We start from the raw sequence: 20985 nt of genomic DNA, 5'->3' as shown, positions 1-20985 counted from the left end.
TTTGCCACAGAATTATGTAATTATGCCATGAACTCAATTTTATGAGCAAATAAGTATAATTTCAATCCAGTAACCAGCAAATCCGTTGTTGACTTTTGGAATATGCTATGTTATGTTTCATAGCGTGCCTTCCTAGTTATATTTTACAGATGTTGGTATTTTTGTTTGTATTTACTGATTATATACCAGTTGGACAGTGGAAGGGAAAGAACCTAAAATGATAAATCACCTGCAGATAGAAAAATGAGTAAATAATTTTCACCTAAATCAAATGTGTGCCATTTTCCCTTTCTGGGTTTTTTGCTTTCAATTAATACTAAATTTAGTTTTGTACACATAACCATTAGGAGGAAGAAAAGCCAACCTGTATCTTTATTTTAGCCAGTTCTCTAACAATTAATTATATATATTTAAAAGTTGGATTTTATCTGAGCTTTGGTTTACCTGTTATTTACTTTTTAAAAATACATGGGTGTTCGTACACCATATATATTCTTTTATATAACAGTTTGAAAGAGTTTTCCTGATTGCAGTGAAGTTAATGTTCCCCCTTTTTTAGTCATTAACAGTCAAATGAATAGTTAAATATATTAAAGATACAGAAATAGAAAATTTACAAGATGGATTAAATAAACACTTATAGGAGTTACTATGACAAAATATTTTGAAACTTACTTTCGAGTTATAAATAAAATTATTAAAGATAAAATTCCAACCTGTTCTCTCATGTGGAGTTTAAATCGCAAGTCGGAAACTTAGGATTTAGGCTAAAGAACGAATGTAAAGGGGAAGAAAACTGTATTCCAAAAACAAAAGGTTATATAAATTGCCAAATTAAGAAGGTTTTTTCACCTCTACCTTATGCTGAGTGAAGAAGGTAAGTATACTAAGCAGCTGCTTTTAATGCCTTTTATTTAAACAAAACAACGAAATCCATAGACTTCTGGAATACCAGCAAATTGTATGTGTTTTCAGTTAGTCATCATGTTATATTAACAGTTCATTAAACAAATGACAATTTGTAAATTCAGTCCACAGAATAGCATACTGAAAGGCTACACATGTAGAATTATTAGATAAAAAGGAACATCACTGCCCTTCATAAATTCTAGAAAGTTCATTGCATTCATTATTCACCTTTAAATTCAAAACTGGAATTTGATGATGATTGCAACTGCAGCTGAGGGCCATAAACTAAAACAATTTACTGGGTGTGGAAAAGGGGGCTGGGAAGAGCCGTGGGCTAACCATCCTGTTAACAAGGAGTGTCTCCTCATGAAGGTGGCAGCCACCAGAACGAGGTGCTGCCTCCTACCCTACAAATAGCAAGGGCCCATGCAAATGAAAAGTGAGCCTTTGAGATGAGTCTAGATAATAATGCATTGGAGATTTCCTGTTAAACTAGCACTCTTAAGAACATAGTGGCATTTTATTTCAATCATAGTATAAAACTCACTGGTTTATTCAATTTTATTATATTTTAGATGTTGGTATTAATATACCAAGCAAGATTCTTTTTAAGTTTTCTATTTCCCCTTTCTAAAAGCTCTATATCGGGTTCTTCAATTACATTCTCAAATTATACAAATACTACATGTTTTCTGACAAATACCGTATTTTGGTAATGTTAGGCTGGAAGTAAACTAGAGTCTTTCTGTAACTTTGACTTATCCTGCAATGTTTGGATGATGGGACACATCACCCTGGGAACTGTCTCAAAGCACAACCACATCTTAGGGCCCTACGCTCACTCCCCAAAGGCAGATCCGCCTCCAAAACTCCAAATCCTCATGGTCTCAGGCATCCCTTTTAAACACGGGCACAATCGTCACCTCTTTGAAATGAGAGCGTGCTTGATTATTCCTGGCCTCCAGTTGCTGGCCTTCATCCGGTGTTGGGGTGGGGGAGCCTGTCGGTTCCTGAAAAATAGCTCGGGGATAACTAAGACAAAAGACCCTGAGGAGCTCTGCCTCAACTGTGGCAAGCTGGGTCTTCCACGTCACCAAGTGTCATTTTCACCGTGCCTGTATGGTCCGCTGTTCATCCTGTTAGCGGACCCCGAAATCAGGCAGGAAAATAAAGCTCAGTGGGAGGGCCTCGGAGCAAGACAATCCCACCAAGATGGACTCGGGTTGATTAACGTGAGTGAACCTCTGAGGACCAGAATCCAGACTAGTAATTCTCCATCCCGGCTGCTCGTTAGATGCCCGGACCGACCCCCCCAGACCAATTCAATCAGAACATTCGGAGGGGCTTGTAAAATCTCCCGGGGAGATTCCGGTACGAAAGCCAAAGACTCAGACGCCCGTTCTCCACCCGCCTGCAGCGGCCAGCGCGGGTCCCTCTTAGGGAATTGAATGCAGGCCCCAGGCCTCCTCCTCGAGTATCCCAGTGTGACCGATGGCCAGCTCACAAACGCGCAGTGGGTGCGGCCGCGCCAGGGCGCAGCGGAGCAGAGGGCCCGGCCGCTTTCGGCCTGGGAAAGAGGAGCCACGGCCCGGAGAGGCGTCAGTGCTGGGCTGCGCCTGCGGAGGTCCTCGCAATTGCTGGACTCAACCGCGCGCGCCCCCTACCGGTCCTGCGAAGGAGCCGCAGCCGCCGCGGGAGGCCACAGGTGAAGCGAAGGGTGTGTCTTACTTCAGCAGCCCTGTAAGCCACGCCCAGATTCTCTCTCATTTTCCCACTTCTCATGGCTTTGCATGCTGTCCCACGTTACGTTAGCCTGTACTGAATGTCTCTTTTTCCACATTTAGAAAACAATTTGTTGATGCTGCAAGACATGAAAAAGTACTGTAACTCCCTGAATGTGCATGTCTTTCAGATAGGTAACAAATTACATTGGGCCATTGTTCAACTTTATTAATATTTGTTAAAACATAATTTGCATATATTTTTGCCTATCAAATTGGCAATATTTGTATGTATGTATGTATGTATTTATTTATTTTTTGCGACAGAGTTTCGCGCTTGTTGCCCAGGCTGGAGTGCAGTGGTGCAATCTCGGCTCATTGCAACCTCTGCCTCCTGGGTTCAAGTAATTCTCCTGTCTCAGCCTCCCGAGTAATTAGGATTACAGGCGCGCGCCGCCACGACCGGCTAATTTTGTATTTTTAGTAGAGACGGGGTTTCACCCTGTTGGCCAGGCTGGTCTCGAACTCCTGACCTCAAGTGATCTGCCTGCCTCGCCCCCTCAAAGTGGTGGGATTACAGGCGTGAACCACCGCGCCCAGCCATGTTTTTAAGTGAGATTCTTAATGCTTGTGAAAATAATGAGAGACTTTTTCATATAGTTTTTTGTTTGTCTTTTGAGACGGAGTTTTGCTCTTGTTGCCCAGGCTGGAGTGCAATGGCGTGATCTCGGCTCACCGCAACCTCCACCGCCCGGGTTCAAGCGATTCTCCTGCCGCAGCCTCCCGAGTAGCTGGGACTACAGGCGCCCGCCACTACGCCTGGCTAATTTTTTGTATTTTTAGTACAGACGGGGTTTCACCGTGTTAGCCAGGATGGTCTCGATCTCCTGATCTCGTGATCTGCACGCCTGGGCCTCTCAAGGTGCATATACATTTTTAAAATGTTGTGTATCAGCCTTTAAAATGCTCATATGGAAACAAATAATTGGTGGCAGCCTCTTCAATGCAATATTTTGCAGCTATAAAAATAGCTTTTCAAATAATATTTTATTTCAAATCACTGCATGTTAACCACTATGTATATTCTGGATTAATGGAAATTTCATTGCATATCTGTGCTGTTTAAAGAATAACACCCTTTCTTCCCCTCCCAAGTTCTGTATCATCAAATATAGTCAGGCAGATGTAGGTCAAAATATCATCTTTGTTACTGATAAAATAGTTTAGAGAAAATGGTGTTGATCTGCAGCTAAGTAGACTGCAATAATTTGCTCAGGAATTTGGCATAATTAGTCTGTCATCACACACAACCTTGGCCTCCCCACACAAGTATACAGTCCCCTTATTCTATGGAAGACAGCTGACTAGAACATAAATCTTGCAAGCAGACAGCCTTGAAAGTAAGAGCCCAGAAGGAGCTGAGCTCATGAGTCATCTGCCTGTCTTCTCCACAGAGGAGAAATTGTAGCAATAAAGCTCCAGGTCAGGGGCATTATGTGTAGAATTTCCTCCACAAGGAAATATGAAGCCAGGGAAGGCAATTATATCCCCATATGTTCTCAAGAAGAAGAAGAAAATCTGAACAAACCACTAACCATTAAAGAGAGCACAAAATAAATTTTACTGAACCTTCAGGGAATGCATTATCCCAAAATATGTAAAATGCTTCAACAAATAGCTAATTAGAATAGGCTTCCCAGCTCATTCTATGATGGTAGTATAACCTTGAAACCAAAACTGGACAAAGAGTATTAAAAAAAAATCAGCAAAATTACTAATGAACATGGGCATAAAAAATCTGAGTAAATGTTACATTTACTCAGTAATATAATGTGACCAGATTTATAATATATAATAATTGATAAGTAATGTCATATTATGTTACTATGTATTAATATTCATTACCATGTATAAACTATAGTAATTAGTAATATATTATTTATATATCATTTGTATATTACTTGTATAAGTAATAAATTTCTTATATTTTTATTATTTATATATTATACAAGTAATATATTCTTGTTTTATATATATATATATATACACACACAAACACACAAGTATTATATCATAACCAAGTTTGACTTATCCAAGAAATGCCTCATGCTTAATAATCTATTAATGTGGCCAGGCATGGTGGCTTACACCTGTAATCTCAGCACTTTGGGAGGCTGAGGCGAGTGGATCACCTGAGGTCAGGAGTTCGAGACCAGCCTGACTAACATGCAGAAACCCCATCTCTACTAAAAATACAAAATTAGCCCAGCATAGTGGCATGCACCTGTAGTCCCAGCTACTCAGGAGGCTGAGGCAGGAGAATCACTTGAACCTGGAAGGCGGAGGTTGCAGTGAGCCGAGATTGCACCACTGCACTCCAGTCTGGGCAACAGAGCAAGACTTTGTCTCAAAAAAAAAAAAAAAATGAGAGAATCTCTTAATGTAATATACCACACCAGTGATTAAAGGAACAAGACAAAGATAGCTGGTATTATCTCTACTATTCCACTTTGTACTAAAGGGGTTAAAAAATGCAATAAGACACTAAAATAAGTAAGTCATACAATTGGAAACAACTGTCAATACTTAGAATATTGTCTTTATAGAAAGTCTAGGAGAATGTATAAAGTTGTTAGAACTAATAAGAGAACCTAGTCAGATTGCTACATACAAGACCAACATATAAAAATTAGTAGTAGTTTCTATATGACAGTATTTTAAAAACTAAAAAAAGATATTATTCTCCATCGCAAAAGAAATATGCCATGTTATTAAATAGGAAGACTCAATACCATGGGTATATCACTTCTTTCCCAAATAAAGTTACAAATTTAATTTAATTCTAACTGAAATCCAAGCAAGATACTTTGTGGAACTTGACATACTTATCCTAAAATTGATCTGGCTATGTAAAGAACTGAGAATAACCACCATAGTTTTTAAGAAAAGGATAAAGTGAGAGGACTTTCTCTACCAGATATCCAGATTTATTACAAAGTTATAATCATTAAAACATGTGGTATTGATACCAACTTAGATAAAAAGGAATAGAACTGAAAGTTCAGAAACATCTCCACACATATATGAACTATGATTGAAGAATTAGAAATCAATGAATAATTTACTATTGAAAAATAAATTGTTGGAGACAATTGACTAGGCATGAGAAAATAAATTAGATCCTTATTTCACAGCATACACAAAATCATTTCCATGTGGATTAAAAACCTAATTGTGAAAAGCAAAGCATAGCATTTTTTAGAATTTATGGTTTCCTTACACTCTGGCTACACCTTTGTAAATAAGCACTCTGTTTTTGTTTTTTTGTTTTGTTTTTTTCTGGGATGGAGTTTCACTCTTGTTGCCCAGGCTGGAGTACAATGGCGTGATTTCTGCTCACTGCAACCTCTGCCTCAATGGGTTCAGGCGATTCTCCTGCCTCAGCCTCCCGAGTAGCTGGGATTACAGCCGTGCGCCACCATGCCCAGCTAATTTTTGCATTTTTAGTGGAGACAGAGTTTCACCATGATGGTCAGGCTGGTCTCAAACTCCTGACCTCGGGTGATCCAACTGCCCTGGCCTCCCTAAGTGCTGGGATTGCAGGCATGAGCCACCACGCCTGGCCAGCACTCTGTTAAAGTTTCCTCAAATTACTCAATTTGAGTGGATCATCTCTTTCTTGTAGGACTCTGATACAGAAGTAAATGTAGAAGAATTTCTTAAGGCACAAAAAGCAAAAAACCATAAAATTGAAATATGGCAAAAAACATTATGGAAATAGAAGATTACAAACCTAAATACTTTGACTCAGCCATAGTAAAAACAGATAAGACCATAAACTACATATTTTGAGAAACTTTGAGTGGAGATAATATGGACACACATTATGGGTTTTTTTTGTGTTTTGTGTTTTGTTTTTGTTTTTGAGATGGAATTTCACTCTTGTTGCTCAGGCTGGAGTGCATTGGTGTGATCTTGGCTCACTGCAACCTCCACCTCCTGAGTTCAAGCAATTCTGCCTCAGCGTCCCAAGTAGCTGGGACTACAGGCATGGACCACCACTCCCAGCTAATTTTTTTATTTTTATTTTTAGTAGAGACGGGGTTTCTCCATGTTGGCCAGGTTGGTCTTGAACTCCTGACCTCAGGTGATCCACCCACCTTGGCCTCCCAAAGTGCTGGGATTACAGGTGTGAGCCACCACGCCCAGCCTGGACATAGATTATCTTAATAACCTTCAAAACTTAAAGTTTTATTAAATATTTTTTTAGGACCGGACGTCATGGTGAAACCCCATCTCTACTAAAAATACAAAATTAGCTGGGCATGGTGGCGCATGCCTGTAATCCCAGCTACTCGGGAGGCTGAGGGAGGAGAACCACTTTGAACCCGGGAGGCAGAGGTTGCTGTGAACCGAGATTGTGCCATGGGCAACAAGAGCAAAACTCTGTCTCAAAAAAAAAAAAAAAAAAAAAAAAAAAATATATATATATATATATATATATATATATATATATATATTCTAATTGATACATAATATATGTAGATATTTTCAAGGTATATGTGATAATTTAATACAATCATGTAATTTGTAAAGATCAAATCAGTGAAGCTGTGATAGCCATAAACATAAATATTTGCCTTTTCCTTATGCTAGAAACATTCAAATTATTCTCTTCTAGTTATTTTGAAATATACAATAGATTATTGTAAACTATAGTCACCCTACTGATCTATCAAACACTAGGCCTTATTTCGTCTATCAAACTGTTTATTTGTACCTATTAATCAACCTCTCCTCATGATCCCTTTACCCCTACCCTTCCTGACCTCTGGTAACCACCAATCTACTCTCTATCTTCATTTACTTTTTAGCTCCCACATATGAGTGAGAACATATGATATTTATCTTTTTGTGCTTGGCTTATTTCACTCAACAAATGACCTCTAGTTCCATCCATGTTGCTACAAATGACAGGATTTTATTCTTTCTTATGGCTGAATAATATTCCATTGTGTATATATATGATATTTTCTTTATCCATTCATCTGTTGATAGATACTTAAGCTGATCCCATATTTTGGCTTTTGTGAACAGTGCTGCAATAAACATGGAGTGTAGATATCTCTTTGATATAGTGATTTTCTTTATTTTGGATATATACCAGTAGTGGAATTCCTGAACCATATACTAGTTCTATTTTTACTTTCTTTGTGGTGACTCCAATACAGTTTTCATAGTGGCTATACTAATTTACATTTCCATCAACGATATCGCAGAACCACTTTCTTCACATCCTCGCCAGCATCCGTGATTCCTGGTCTTTTTAATGAAAACCATTTTAACTGGCATAAAATGATATCTCATTGTGGTTTGATTTGCATTTCTCAGATGATTAGTGATGGTGAGCATTTTTTAATATACCTCTTGGCCATTTTATGTCTTCTTTTGTGAAATGTCTATTCAGAACTTTTGCAAATCAGATTTTTTTTCCTTTTAAGTTGTTTGAGCTCCTTACATATTCTGGTTAATTCGTTGTCAGATGGGTAGTTTGCAAATATTTTCTCACATTCTGTGTGGGCTGTCTCTTCACTTTGTTGATTGCTTCCTTTGCTGCGCAGAAGCTTTTTAGCTTGATGTAATCCCATTTGTCTATTTTTGCTTTTGTTGCCTGTACTTTTGAGGTCTTACACAAAAAAACTTTGGCCAGACCAATGTACTGAAGTGTTTCCCCAATGTTTTCTTCTAGTAGTTACATAGCTTCTGGTCTTAGATTTAAGTATGTAAGCCATTTTGATTTGATTTTTGCATATGGTGAGAGATAGGTGTCTAGTTTCATTCCTCTGCATATGGTTATCCAGTTTTCTCAGCACCATTTATTAAAGAGACTGTCTTTTCCCCATTGTATGTTCTTGGTGCTATTGTCAAAAATGAGATGGCTGTAAATGAGTGGATTTATATCTGGGTTTTGTATTCTATTCCATTGGTCTATGTGTCTGTTTTTATGCCAGTATCATGTTGATTTGGTTACTATAACTTTGGGGTATAATTTGGAGTCAGGAAGGATGATGCCTCCAGCTTTGGTCTTTATGCTCAGGATTGCTTTGGCTATTCAGGGTCTTCTGTGGTTCCATATAAATTATAGGATTGGATTTTTTTTTCCTTTCTGTGAAGAATGTCATTGGTATTTTGATAGAGATTGAATTGAATCTGTAAATTGCTTTGGGTAGTATTGTCATTTTTAACAATACTGATTCTTCCAATCAATGAACATAGAATGTCTTTCCATTTTTTGCGTCCTCTTCAATTTTTTTCATCAGTGTTTTCTAGTTTTCCTTATATAGATCTTTCACTTCTTTGGTTAAATTGATTCCTAGCTATTTTATATTATTTGCAGCTATTCTAAGTGGGATTGCTTTCTTGATTTTTTTTTTCAGATTGTTCACTGTTGGCATATATAAATGCTACTGATTTTTGTATGTTGATATTGAATCTTGAAACTTTACCGAATGTATTAGTTCTAACAAATTTTTTAGTGGAGTCTTTAGATTTTTCTAAGTGTAAAATAATATCGCCTGTGAACAAGGCTAATTTGACTGCTTCCTTGCCAATTTGGACACCCTTTACTTCTTCCTCTTGCCTAATTATGTGGGCAGGACTTCCAGCATTATGTTGAATAAGAGTGGTGAGAGTGGACATCCTTGTTTTGTTCCAGATCTTAGAGGAAATGCTTTCAAATTTTCCCTGTTCAGTATAATGTTAGCTGTAGATATCATATATGACCTTTATTATTTTGAGGTATGTTCCTTTGTTGAGGGTTGATATCATAAACGGATGTTGGGTTTTGTTTGTTTTTTCTTTTTTTTGATACAGGGTTGGTCTCACTCTGTCACCCAGGCCAGAGAGTGCAGTGGCAGAATCATGGCTTACCTGAGACCTCCCAGGCTCAGGTGATTCTCCCATCTCACCTTCCTAAGTAGCTGGGACCACAGGCATGTGCCAACACACCAGCTAATTTGGGATGTTGAATTTTATTGAATGTTTTTCAACATCTATAGAAATGATGATATAACTTTTGTTATTGGTTCTATTAATGTGATGTATCATGTTTATTGATTTTCATATGTTGAATGAACCATCATTGCATCCCTGGGATGAATCGCACTTGATCATAGTAAATAATCTTCCTAATGTGTTGATGAATTCATTTTGCTAGTATTTCGTTGAGGATTTCTGCATCTATGTTCATCAGAGATATTAGCCTGTAGTTTTCTTTTTTTGCTGTGTCCTGGTTTTGGTATCAGGGTAACACTGGCCTCGTAGAATGAGTTTGGGAGAATTCCCTCTTCAGTTTTTTTGAGGAGTTTGAGTATAATTGGCATTAATTCTTTTTTAAATGTTTGGTAGAATTTAGAAGTCAAGCCACTAGGCCTGGACTTTTCTTGGATGGGAGACTTTTTATTACAGATTTGATGTCATTTCTCATTACTGGTTTGTTGAAGTGTTCTATTTCTTCATAGTTTAATCTTGGTAGGTTACATGTGTCCAGAAATTCATCCATTTCCTCTAGGTTTTCCAATTTGTTGATGTATTGTTGTTCTTAATAGTCTCTAATGATTCTTTGTATTTATGTGGTCTCAGTTGTTATATCTCCTTATTTGATTCTGATTTTACTTATTTGGGTCTTCTTTTTTTTTCTTAGTCTAGACAAATGTTTGTTGATTTATCTTTTCAAAACAACTTTTTCCATTATTGTTTTCTGTATTCTTTTTTAGTCTCAATTTCATTTATTTCTGCTCTGATATTTCTTATTTCTTTTCTTCTACTAATTTTAATTTGGTTTGTTCTTCCTTTTCTATTTCTTTGAGGTACATCATTAGTTTATTTGAAATCTTCCTACTTTTTATATAGGCCTGTATTGGTACAAACTTCCCTCTTAATACTGCTTTTGCTGTATCCCATAGATTGTGGTATGTTGTATTTCCATTTTCATTTGTTTCAAGAAACTTTTTAATTTCCTTAATTTCTTCATTGACACAATGGTCATTCATGAGCATGTTGTTTAATTTCCATGTGTATGTGTAATTTCCAAGGTTCCTCTTGATATTGATTTCCTGTTTTATTCCATTGTTGTCAGAAAACATACTTGATGTTAGTGCCAATTTTTTTGAATTTGTTGAGACCAGTTTTGTGTCCTAAGATATTGTCTATTCTGTGGGATGTCCCAAGTGCTAATGAAAAGAATGTGTATTGTGCAGCGATTAGGTGAAGTGTTCTGTAAATGTCAATTAGGCCTATTTGGACTAGTGTGTAATTTAACTCCAGTGTTTCTTTGTTGATTTTTTGACTGGATGATCTATTGATTATTGAGAGTGTGGTGTTGAAATTCCCTACTATTATTGTATTTCAGTCTGTTGCCAGACAAATTAGAACGCCTTTATTGTATTTCAGTCTGCTGCTAGATGAATTAGAGTGCCTTTATATGTTATTTGCGCCTTTTCTCTTGCCACTTTTAGAATCCTCTCTTTGTCTTTGACCTTTGTTTGATTATTACATGCCTTAAAGTAGCCTTATTTGGGTTGAATCTGCTTGGTATTCTCTGACCTTCCTGTATCTGGATATTTAGCTCTTAAACTGGAGAGTATTCTGTTATTATTTCTTTCAATAAGATTTCTACCTCTTGCTCTAGATCAGCTCCCTCTTGGATATCAATAATTCTTGGATCTGGTACTTTGAGGTAATTTTTTGTATCTTTTAGGTGATCTTCATTGCTTTTTATTCTTTTCTCTTTTTTTGAGTACTTTCTTCTTTTCTTTTCCTTCCTTCCCTCCTTCCTTCCTTCCTTCCGTCCTTCCTTCCTCCCTTCCTTCCTTCCTTCCTCTCTCTCTCTCTTTCTTTATTTCTCTCTCTCTTTTTTTTTTCAAGGTCTCATTCTACCACCAAGTACGGAATGCCAGCATGATCTTGGCTCAGCTTAACTGCAGCCTCAACCTCCTGGGCTCAAGTGATTCTCCCACCTCAGCCTTCCAAGTGGCTGGGGCCACAAGCACACATCACCACGCCTGGCTAATTTTTTTATTTTTTGTAGAGATGAGGTCTTGCTATGTTGCCTAGGCTGGTCTTGAACTCCTGGCCTCAAGCAATCCTCCTGCCTCCACCTCCCAAAAGTGCTGGGATTACAAGTGTGAGCCACTGTGCCTGGCCTTCTTTGAGTATTTTCAAATGGCCTGTCTTTGAGCTCACTTATTCTTTCCTCTGCTTGATCTGTTCTACTGTTGAGAGCCTCTAGTGAATTTTTCTGTTCAGTAAATGTATTTCTCAGTTCCAAAATTTCTTTTTTTGAGACGAAATCTCTCTCTGTCGCCCAAGCTGGAGTGCAGTGGTGTAACCTCAGCTCACTACAACCTCTGCCTCTTGGGTTTAAGCAGTTATCTGCCTCAGCCTCCCAAGTAGCTGGGATTACAGGCACCCACCACCACGCCCGGCTAATTTTTGTATTTTTAGTAGAGATGGGATTTCACCATCTTGACCAGGCTGATCTTGAATTCCTCACCTCATGATCCACCTGTCTCGGCCTCCCAAAGTGCTGGGATTACAGACATGAACCACCGTGCCCAGCCTCTCAGTTCCAACATTTCTGTTTGATTTTTTAAATTATCCAATCTCTGTTAAATTTTTCTGATAATTTTCTGAATTGCTTTTTTGTGTTATTTTTGAGATCACTGTTTTTTTGTGTGTGTTATTTTGAGATCACTGCCTTAAAATGGCAGTTTTAAGGAAGCGGTGACTCACGCCTATAATCCCAGCACTTTGGGAGGCCGAGACGGGCAGATCATTTAAGGCCAGGAGTTCGAGACCAGCCTGGCCAATTCAATGAAACCCTGTCTCTACTAAAAATACAAAAATTAGCTAGATATGGTGGTGCATGCCTGTAATCCCAGCTACTTGGGAAACTGAGGCACAAGAATTGCTTGAACCCAGGAGGCAGAGGTTGCAGTGAGCCAGGATAGCACCACTGCACTCCAGCCTGGGTGATAAAGCAAGACTGTCTCAAAAAAACAAAACAAAACAGACCTGTCATTTTAAATTCTTGGTCAGAGAGTTCACATATTACCATCTTGTTGGGGTCATCCACTGATTCCTTGCTTTGTCTGTTTGGGGACATCATGGATCCCTGATTGCTGTTATTTCTTATGGATGTACATATGTACATTGAAAGATTAGTTATTTCTTCCAGTCTTCGTCTGGCTTGTTTGGGTTTCTACTGGATGTGTTTGCTTACAGATTCTTTGTAATTTACTTGTTGATTCTTTCTTTTTTTTTTTTTTTTCTCCACTCAGTCATTACATCCTTTGCAGCACTATATAGAACCTTAAGCCTAGGTTTGCCTTGGTTCTAGTAAATAGTCAAGTACGCATTCTGGATGGGGTACATCCCAAAGGGGATATCTTGGTAGTGTGAGAAGGCTAGGTAGGAGTTCATGTCCAGGTGACCTGTGGAACGAACCTCCTACAGCATGGTGCTGCTGAATAGGCACTCTGATGTGGTGTCTCCTTTGGCCAAGTTACAAAGCAGAATTTCAGGGCTGGGAATGGTAGTTTTGCCTCCTCTTTTTGGCTGTTGTCAGGGATATTTCTTCCTATAGGCACTCCCAGTACTTCCCATGGGTTGAGGCAGGGACAGGTCTCCTGCCAGGGAATCCAAGTTGGCAGGGAAGCCAGCTGTCCACCTTGATCTCACTTTCCCATTCTAGAAACTGAATCACAATAAAAAATTGTATGCTTGGTGCCAGGCAGATTGGAGAAAGGGGCATCTTGGATATGGATATCTAATTCTCTTATTGTCTGCTTAGAATTTTTTCACCTTTGCGGTCTTAGGAACTATTTCCTCCTCATGTTTGAGTTCTGGGATATTGCTGGTAATAATCGTGGCCCTGTATATTTGTTTTTGGCTTCTGTTGGTGGGAGGAGAGAAGACAGCTTGCTTTTGTGGTGTCAATTTTAGAACTTGAAATCTCCTGAATCAATATTTAATCAAATCTTATCAAGCATTTTTAACAGAATCTTAGAGCAGAATAACTTATTTTTTTTTTTTTTTTTTTTTTTTTTTTTTTTGAGACAGAGTCTCGCTGTGTTGCCCAGGCTGGAGTGCAATGGCGCCATCTCGGTTCACTGCAAGCTCCGCCTCCCGGGTTCATGCCGTTCTCCTGCCTCAGCCTCCCGAGTAGCTGGGACTACAGGCACCCGCCACTATGCCCGGCTAATTTTCTGTATTTTTAGTAGAGACGTGATTTCACTGTGTTAGCCAGGATGGTCCCGATCTCCAGACCTCGTGATCAGCCTGCCTCGGCCTCCCAAAGTGCTGGGATTACAGGCGTGAGCCACCGCGCCCGGCTGAGCAGAATAACTTCTTAACTACCCCAGATGAAAAACACTTTAGAACATTTTAACTCAGATTACTTTAAAAATTTTTCTATTTTGAAATAATTTTAGACTTACAGAAAAGTTGCAATAATAGTAAAGAAAGTTCCTTTCTACCCTTCATCTATCTTCCCCTTATATCAACATTTTTCATAATCATAGTGCAATTACCAAAACTAAAAAGTTTACAGGCTCACACCTGTAATCCCAGCACTTTGGGAGGCTGAGGCGGATGGATCACAAGGTCAGGAGATCGAGACCATCCTGGCCAACATGGTGAAACCTCGTCTCTACTAAAAACGCAAAAATTAGCTGGGTGTGGTGGCGTGCGCCTGTAGTCCCAGCTACTCAGGAGGCTGAGGCAGGAGAATCACTTGAACCAGGGAGTCGGAGGTTGCAGTGAGCCAAGATAGCACCACTGCACTCTAGCCTGGTGACAGAGAAGACTGTCCCCACAAAAAAAAAAAAAAAGAAAGAAAATTGACTTGTGTATGTTGACTTTGTATTTAGCAATATTACTCAATGTTCTTATTTATTCTAATAATTTACTGTAGATGAGCTTGGATTTTCTACATATATATTATCTGTGACTAATGACCATTTTATTTCTTCCTTTTAATCCATATACCTTTTCTTTTTGCCTTATGCCACTGGCTAATTACTATCTCAGTACAATGTTAAATAGAAGTAATGATGAGCATAACCTTTTCTAGCTTCCAATCTCAAAAGTTTTCAGTGTTTCACCACTAGATATGATGTTTACTGCAGATTTTTATGGGTACCCTTTAGCAGATTAAAGAAATTCCCATCTATTCCTACTTTGTAAATTATGAAAAATGTTGCAACTTATCAAGTACTTCTACATCTATTGCAATATTTACATGGGATTTTCTTCTTTAATCTCTTAATGTGGCAAATTACATTAGTTTTCTATTGTTAAATCCAAACTTGCATTCCTGGGACAAATGCAACTGACTCATGAAGTAGTATGCTTTTTATATATTGATGGCTTTATAATATTTAGAATAATTCCCTAATGTTTAGAATTTTTACATTTTTGTTCTTGAGTAAATTTGGCCTGTAATTTTCTTTTTCATATTGTCCTTGTTGACATTGAGGTTAGTGCTAGCCTCATAAAACAAGTTGGAAAATGTTCCCTCTTTTTCTACTCTCTGGGAGAGTTTGTGAAATACTGAAACCATGCCAGTTTGACAGGATTTAATATAAGAAGTTGCTTAGACAAGTACTGGAGAACTAAAAAGGTAAAGATGGAACTGCAGCAACACAGAGATAGTAAACATAGGAAGTAGCTACCAACCCTAAGGCTAAAGGGACAAAGGGAAAATACTGGGTCATTAGAAACTGCAAGCTTGAAGGAGGGACTTACAGAGCTGGGACCCAGACCTCTGAGGAGTGGTGCTACCCAGCTGGTGCTGGTACCACAGGAGTCACTCAGAAGTCTCAGGAAGGTTGCAATCCACGCAAGGACTATTTGATGTCTAGTTTACTCTTACAGAAAGCGTACCCTTCCTTAAGACATTTCACTTCTACCCCCAGGAAAATTGTCATAATGTACTGAATTTGTTAGAGCAAGACACTAGTACCATATGTAAACATCCATGTTCACAGTGAGAATGGTACTCTTTACCTGTCATGGTAGGCCACTGGCTCTCCCTTTTATGTTACCTTTTTTTTTTTTTTTTTTTTTTGAGATGGAGTTTCACTCTTGTTGCCCAGGCTGGAGTGCAATGGTGCAATCTCGGCTCACTGCAACCTCTGCCTCCCGGGTTCAAGCAATTCTCCTGCCTCAGCCTCCCCAGTAGCTGGGATTACAGGCGCCCGCTACCACATCCAGCTAATTTTTGTATTTTTAGTAGAGACAGGGTTTTGCCATGTTAGGCCAGGCTGGTCTCCAACTCCTGACCTAAAGTGATCCGCCCCTTCGGCCTCCCAAAGTGCTGGGATTACAGGTGTGAGCCACCGCACCCGGCCCCCTTTTATGTTTTCCATGAAATTTGCTGAATCCTCTCAGTCCCTTATGGCTTTTTTCTAATTTTCTTTGAACTTTTTTGTTTCTTTCTGTAATTTTAAAGTGATTTCAAGAGTAACATGTGATAAGTACATGCAATCAATAAACCATCCTTAATCAGGAATTATATATAAAATTAGTTTGTTATAAATGTATTATTTGTATTTGTATTAAATTATTTCTTATAAAATAAAATAGTTGTATTAAGATTTATTTGTCATTTTGACATCTCTTACATCTTTTAATTTCAACATTTGTTTTGTAGATTCAAAGGAAAAAACATGAAAATTAAAATCAAGTTACAATTTTGTATTGGCATAAAACATATCAGCAAATAAGATGTCTGAAAAGGAGGGTATGTCAGAAGTGCTAGAGGATACTATTAGTCAATTTAGGAAAGAATCTAGATCACAGTCAATGAAGGAGCCTGGCTTTATTAAAGAAACATCAAATTTGATAAACGAAGCTTCTGATTACCTGGAAGGGAAATCTTCTAACCAGATTTATGAAACACATCCTAGACAGAATACATTAGAGTCAACATCTTCCTCTGGAAGGAAGTCTAAGAGAAATGAAGAACAAAAGAAAAATCTTCAATTTTCTGAAACAAGCACTAGAACAGGAACTTCACAGAGTTTATCATCACTAACTGGGAGGACTGCAGAATATCAGGCTTTGGTTAACTTCCTATCTCATGAAACAGTAGGAGAAGTTAGTCCACAAGTCTCTGAAGAAAATCAGAAACAACTTGGCCTAGGGGCAGATAACTTTACAGTTAACCTTGAGGCCAAGGGTTTACAGGAATTTCCTAAGGACATTTTAAAAATCAAATATGTAAAATATCTATATTTAGACAAGAATCAAATCAAAACATTTCAAGGGGCAGACTCAGGTGATCTGTTAGGACTTGAAATTCTATCCCTGCAAGAAAATGGATTATCATCACTTCCATCTGAAATTCAGTTACTTCATAATTTAAGGATATTAAATGTCAGTCATAACCACATATCACATATACCTAAAGAAATATCTCAGCTTGGGAATATCAGACAACTCTTTTTTTATAACAATTACATTGAAAATTTTCCTTCTGACTTAGAATGTCTTGGAAACTTGGAAATTTTAAGTTTGGGTAAAAATAAGTTAAGACATATACCAGATACTCTGCCTAGTTTAAAAACCTTGAGGGTTCTCAATTTGGAATATAATCAGTTAACAACATTTCCTAAAGCTCTCTGCTTCCTTCCAAAGTTAATTTCACTAGACCTTACTGGAAACCTAATAAGCAGTTTGCCAAAAGAAATTAGAGAGCTTAAAAATTTAGAAACACTTTTAATGGATCACAATAAGCTTACCTTTCTGGCTGTAGAAATTTTTCAGTTACTCAAAATAAAAGAACTCCAACTGGCCGACAATAAATTGGAAGTTATTTCACACAAAATTGAGAATTTCAGGGAACTTAGGATTCTTATACTTGATAAAAATTTATTGAAAAATATACCAGAGAAAATATCTTGCTGTGCAATGTTGGAATGCCTTAGTCTTAGTGATAATAAATTAACAGAACTCCCTAAGTACATCCATAAGCTTAACAATTTAAGAAAACTCCATGTAAACAGAAATAATATGGTAAAAATAACTGACTGTATCTCACATCTTAATAACATATGCAGTCTAGAATTTTCAGGAAACATAATCACAGATGTTCCCATTGAAATAAAAAACTGCCAAAAAATAATTAAAATTGAATTGAGTTATAACAAAATAATGTATTTTCCATTGGGACTGTGTGCTTTAGATTCTCTTTATTATTTGAGTGTTAATGGAAATTATATTTCAGAAATACCTGTGGATATATCTTTCAGTAAACAACTGCTTCATTTAGAATTGAGTGAAAACAAACTCCTCATATTTTCTGAGCACTTTTGTTCTCTTATTAATCTTAAATACCTGGATCTTGGTAAAAACCAAATAAAGAAAATTCCAGCATCAATTTCTAATATGATATCACTCCACGTACTTATTTTATGCTGTAATAAATTTGAAACTTTCCCTAGAGAATTGTGTACTTTAGAAAATTTGCAAGTACTTGATCTTTCGGAAAACCAATTACAGAAAATCTCTTCAGACATCTGTAATTTAAAAGGAATCCAGAAATTAAACTTCTCAAGCAATCAATTTATACATTTTCCTATTGAACTGTGCCAACTTCAATCACTGGAACAGCTGAATATAAGTCAGATAAAAGGGAGAAAGGTAAGAGACTGGTATTGTGGGCTTTGTGGGGAAGGAGAGACTGGAGAGGATCAGAATCCAAGCTGTGGTGTATCTGTGGGTACCGTATGTGTGTTTTAAGTTGAGCTGAAATATTTTGTTTTTTAAATGAAAGCCCTCCCCGTCCCCGCCAAACATGGCTTATAAATACAATTCACAACACAAAAGCTGTACAGGAAAATACTTCATTAAAATGAAATATGAAGCAATGAAAGCTGACAATTCTATAGATTCCTTTTTATTTTGGTGTAATTGTAAAAGGAGTTTTAAAGTTATGAATGTCATATAAACACATTATTGAAAGTTTGGAAAGTGATAAAAGTAAGACAAAAGTCATTCCACAAGCATATCATTGTATTATAACTACGGGCATACGTTGACACAACTTTTAGTCTTTTTTCCCGTTATGCATATGGTTTTATAAGGAATTATAAAAGACTACACACTCAATTTTAAATTCTTCTTTTTTTAACCAATAAGCATTTCTCTTTGATATAACCATCTTCCCAATAAATTGTTATAACCAGTACATGATTTATAGATCTAAACCTCTTGTTATGCATTTAGGAATGTTATAATTTTTCTTCATAATAATGCTGTGATGAATTTTTCCATAAATATAGCCTTTTTCATATTTTAGACTATTTCCTTAGGAAATTTTTCCTGAAGAATTGCTAGATCAATAAGAATTAACATTTTTAGAGCTTAGCATTTTATCTTACTGAAACTCTAGGAGTAAGTTTTATGGAAATAATTTTTTAATAACTAAAACATTACTGATTTATATGAAGATCTTAGTAAACAAATGAAAAGAACACAGCTATTATCTAAGGCAGGGCTTCCCAAAGTCTACTCCTAAAAGCCCTAGTCCCATGAGCATCTGCTCAAAAAAAAAGGGAGGAGGGGAGCAGTGTCTGTGATCAAATAGCTTTAAGAAGCACTGGGTTCTTCTCTTAAAGAATAACAATGAATACTGATCTATTAAAAGCTTTGAAGAGTCTTGCACTAATTTTCCCAAAATATTCCCATATTTCCCAAACTTATTTGACCATTTTTAACATAACAGCTGTCATATACTACATTTCCAGAAAAACTGCTCCAGGGAATACTTGCTTAAGCAGATGGAATGAATAATGATACAGCTTGTATTTAAAAAGTTGATTTTGCACTAACAGACAATTTTTATATCTGCAATATAATAATCAGTTAATTCATTGACTGATTCATAACCATCTCATTCATTTTCTCCTCTTGTAAGATAACTGTTGGTATCTCCAATGTTATATCCTTAACTCTCTCTTTTTTATTAACTCCTTTCCCACCACACCTGCTGTCACTTACATGCACATTATCCCAAAGTCTACATGACTAGAGCTGATCTCACACCAGTGCTGTAGTCCCATAGTTCTCATTTTTTTTCCTGGAAATTATACATGTTCTATTCTTTTGTTGTCACACACTCAATATAACTTCAAAGTCAGCTCATTTTTCTTCCATCTCCTTTCAAAACTTCTCCATTTCTGTTTGTGATGCCAGTTTTTCTTTTAAACCTGCCAGGCTAAAACTCATGAAATCATTCTTGTTCCTTTTCCATCATCAGTTATACCTCATCTTACACCAAAATTGTATTATTTTTCCTCTGAAAAAGCTGTTGGGTTATCTCCCTCATTTTCCAGTGTCACTGTCTACAACCTGGTCCTTGGTTATCACTCACTTCATGCATAGATTTATGCCAGGAACCTCCTCCCTTTTAGCAAGCCTTATCAAAGTTGTCAGACTTCATTGCAGAGGACTGTTGTCCATGTATCATACTTGCCTGTCAGGAATCCAAATTGCGTATCTGTTGTCTACTCAAAGTGAATGGCTGCCCAAGGCAACAGTCCACATATTTGCAACATCATTGCAAAGGTCATCAAATGGAAAAAATGATTTACAAGAACTCCTGTCAAAAAGAATATCCCATGTAGTTGAAAATATCACTTGATAACCCCCTTGGGGTGGAAATGAAATGCCCAAATAATTAACTTATATAATAGCAGATGGTCACTTATCTGAAGAAAAGTCAGATTAATCACAGGGCTTTTATTTTATTAAAGGAAGGATGCCCAAAAGGAACCTTCCTTCTATATGAATTCCATCATCATACAGCTCTCAGACACCACCTCTAGTAAATGTTGAGAAGGTAATTAAAGAATATTTGTTTCAATGAATGCCAAATAAAACTGAACCCACCTATCTGTTTTGATCTGACTCCTACTTCATAGGCCAGGCTCTCAAGTCTTGCCATAGCCTGGTTCCATGCTCCTTATCCAAACAAATCTCCCTCTGCTTTGCATCACCTTTCTTTGCTGGTCAGCTTCTCACTGGCCATTGTTATTCATGATATTTATCTTGCCTTAAGTGTCCTGTAACTTTTTTCTAATTCTATTCATTCTTTGTTTTTGTTTTTGTTTTTGAGACAGAGTCTCACTCTGTCGCTCAGGCTGGAGGACAGTGGTGCGATCTCAGCTCACTGCAACCTCTGCCTCCCAGGTTCAAGTGATTCTCCTGCCTCAGGCTCCTGAGTAGCTGGGATTACAGGCACTCACCTCCACGTCCAGCTAATTTTTGTGTTTTCAGTAGAGACGGGGTT

General features: G+C 37.4%; 1 protein-coding gene and 1 long non-coding RNA gene across 6 annotated transcripts in view, besides 1 other annotated feature; one reads left to right on the top strand and one right to left on the bottom strand.

Moving 5' to 3' along the window:
- Positions 1 to 895: 895 nt before the first annotated feature.
- Positions 896 to 20985, bottom strand: part of CYP51A1-AS1 (CYP51A1 antisense RNA 1) — a 46163-nt gene continuing 26073 nt past the window's right edge. For both annotated transcript variants that reach the window (NR_122109.1, NR_122110.1), the window contains 2 exons: positions 16557 to 16641; positions 896 to 2770 (listed from right to left, as the gene is read on the bottom strand). This is a non-coding gene — a long non-coding RNA (CYP51A1 antisense RNA 1). The remainder of the gene's footprint in view (positions 2771 to 16556; positions 16642 to 20985) is intronic.
- LRRD1 (leucine rich repeats and death domain containing 1) overlaps positions 2479 to 20985 on the top strand; it is a 37500-nt gene continuing 18993 nt past the window's right edge. The window contains exons 1-2 of one of the 4 annotated variants that reach the window (NM_001161528.2): positions 2479 to 2614; positions 16345 to 18335. In NM_001161528.2, coding sequence (NP_001155000.1) covers positions 16419 to 18335 — 1917 coding nt within the window. In that variant the 5' untranslated portion in view covers positions 2479 to 2614; positions 16345 to 16418. Of the gene's footprint in view, positions 2650 to 16344; positions 18336 to 20985 lie in introns of all 4 variants that reach the window. The other 3 variants (NM_001384933.1, NM_001384932.1, NM_001384934.1) reach the window with 3 other exon arrangements.
- Positions 2509 to 2618: a silencer, noted in NCBI's record as "silent region_18368". NCBI's record gives its function as "represses an Ori minimal core promoter by ATAC-STARR-seq in GM12878 lymphoblastoid cells {active_cell/tissue: GM12878}" and the evidence as "EXISTENCE:reporter gene assay evidence [ECO:0000049][PMID:35858748]".

Source organism: Homo sapiens, chromosome 7 (genome assembly GCF_000001405.40).
Source record: "Homo sapiens chromosome 7, GRCh38.p14 Primary Assembly".
NCBI classification, from domain to species: Eukaryota; Metazoa; Chordata; class Mammalia; order Primates; family Hominidae; genus Homo; species Homo sapiens.
This window is presented reverse-complemented; position numbering and strand designations above follow the sequence as displayed.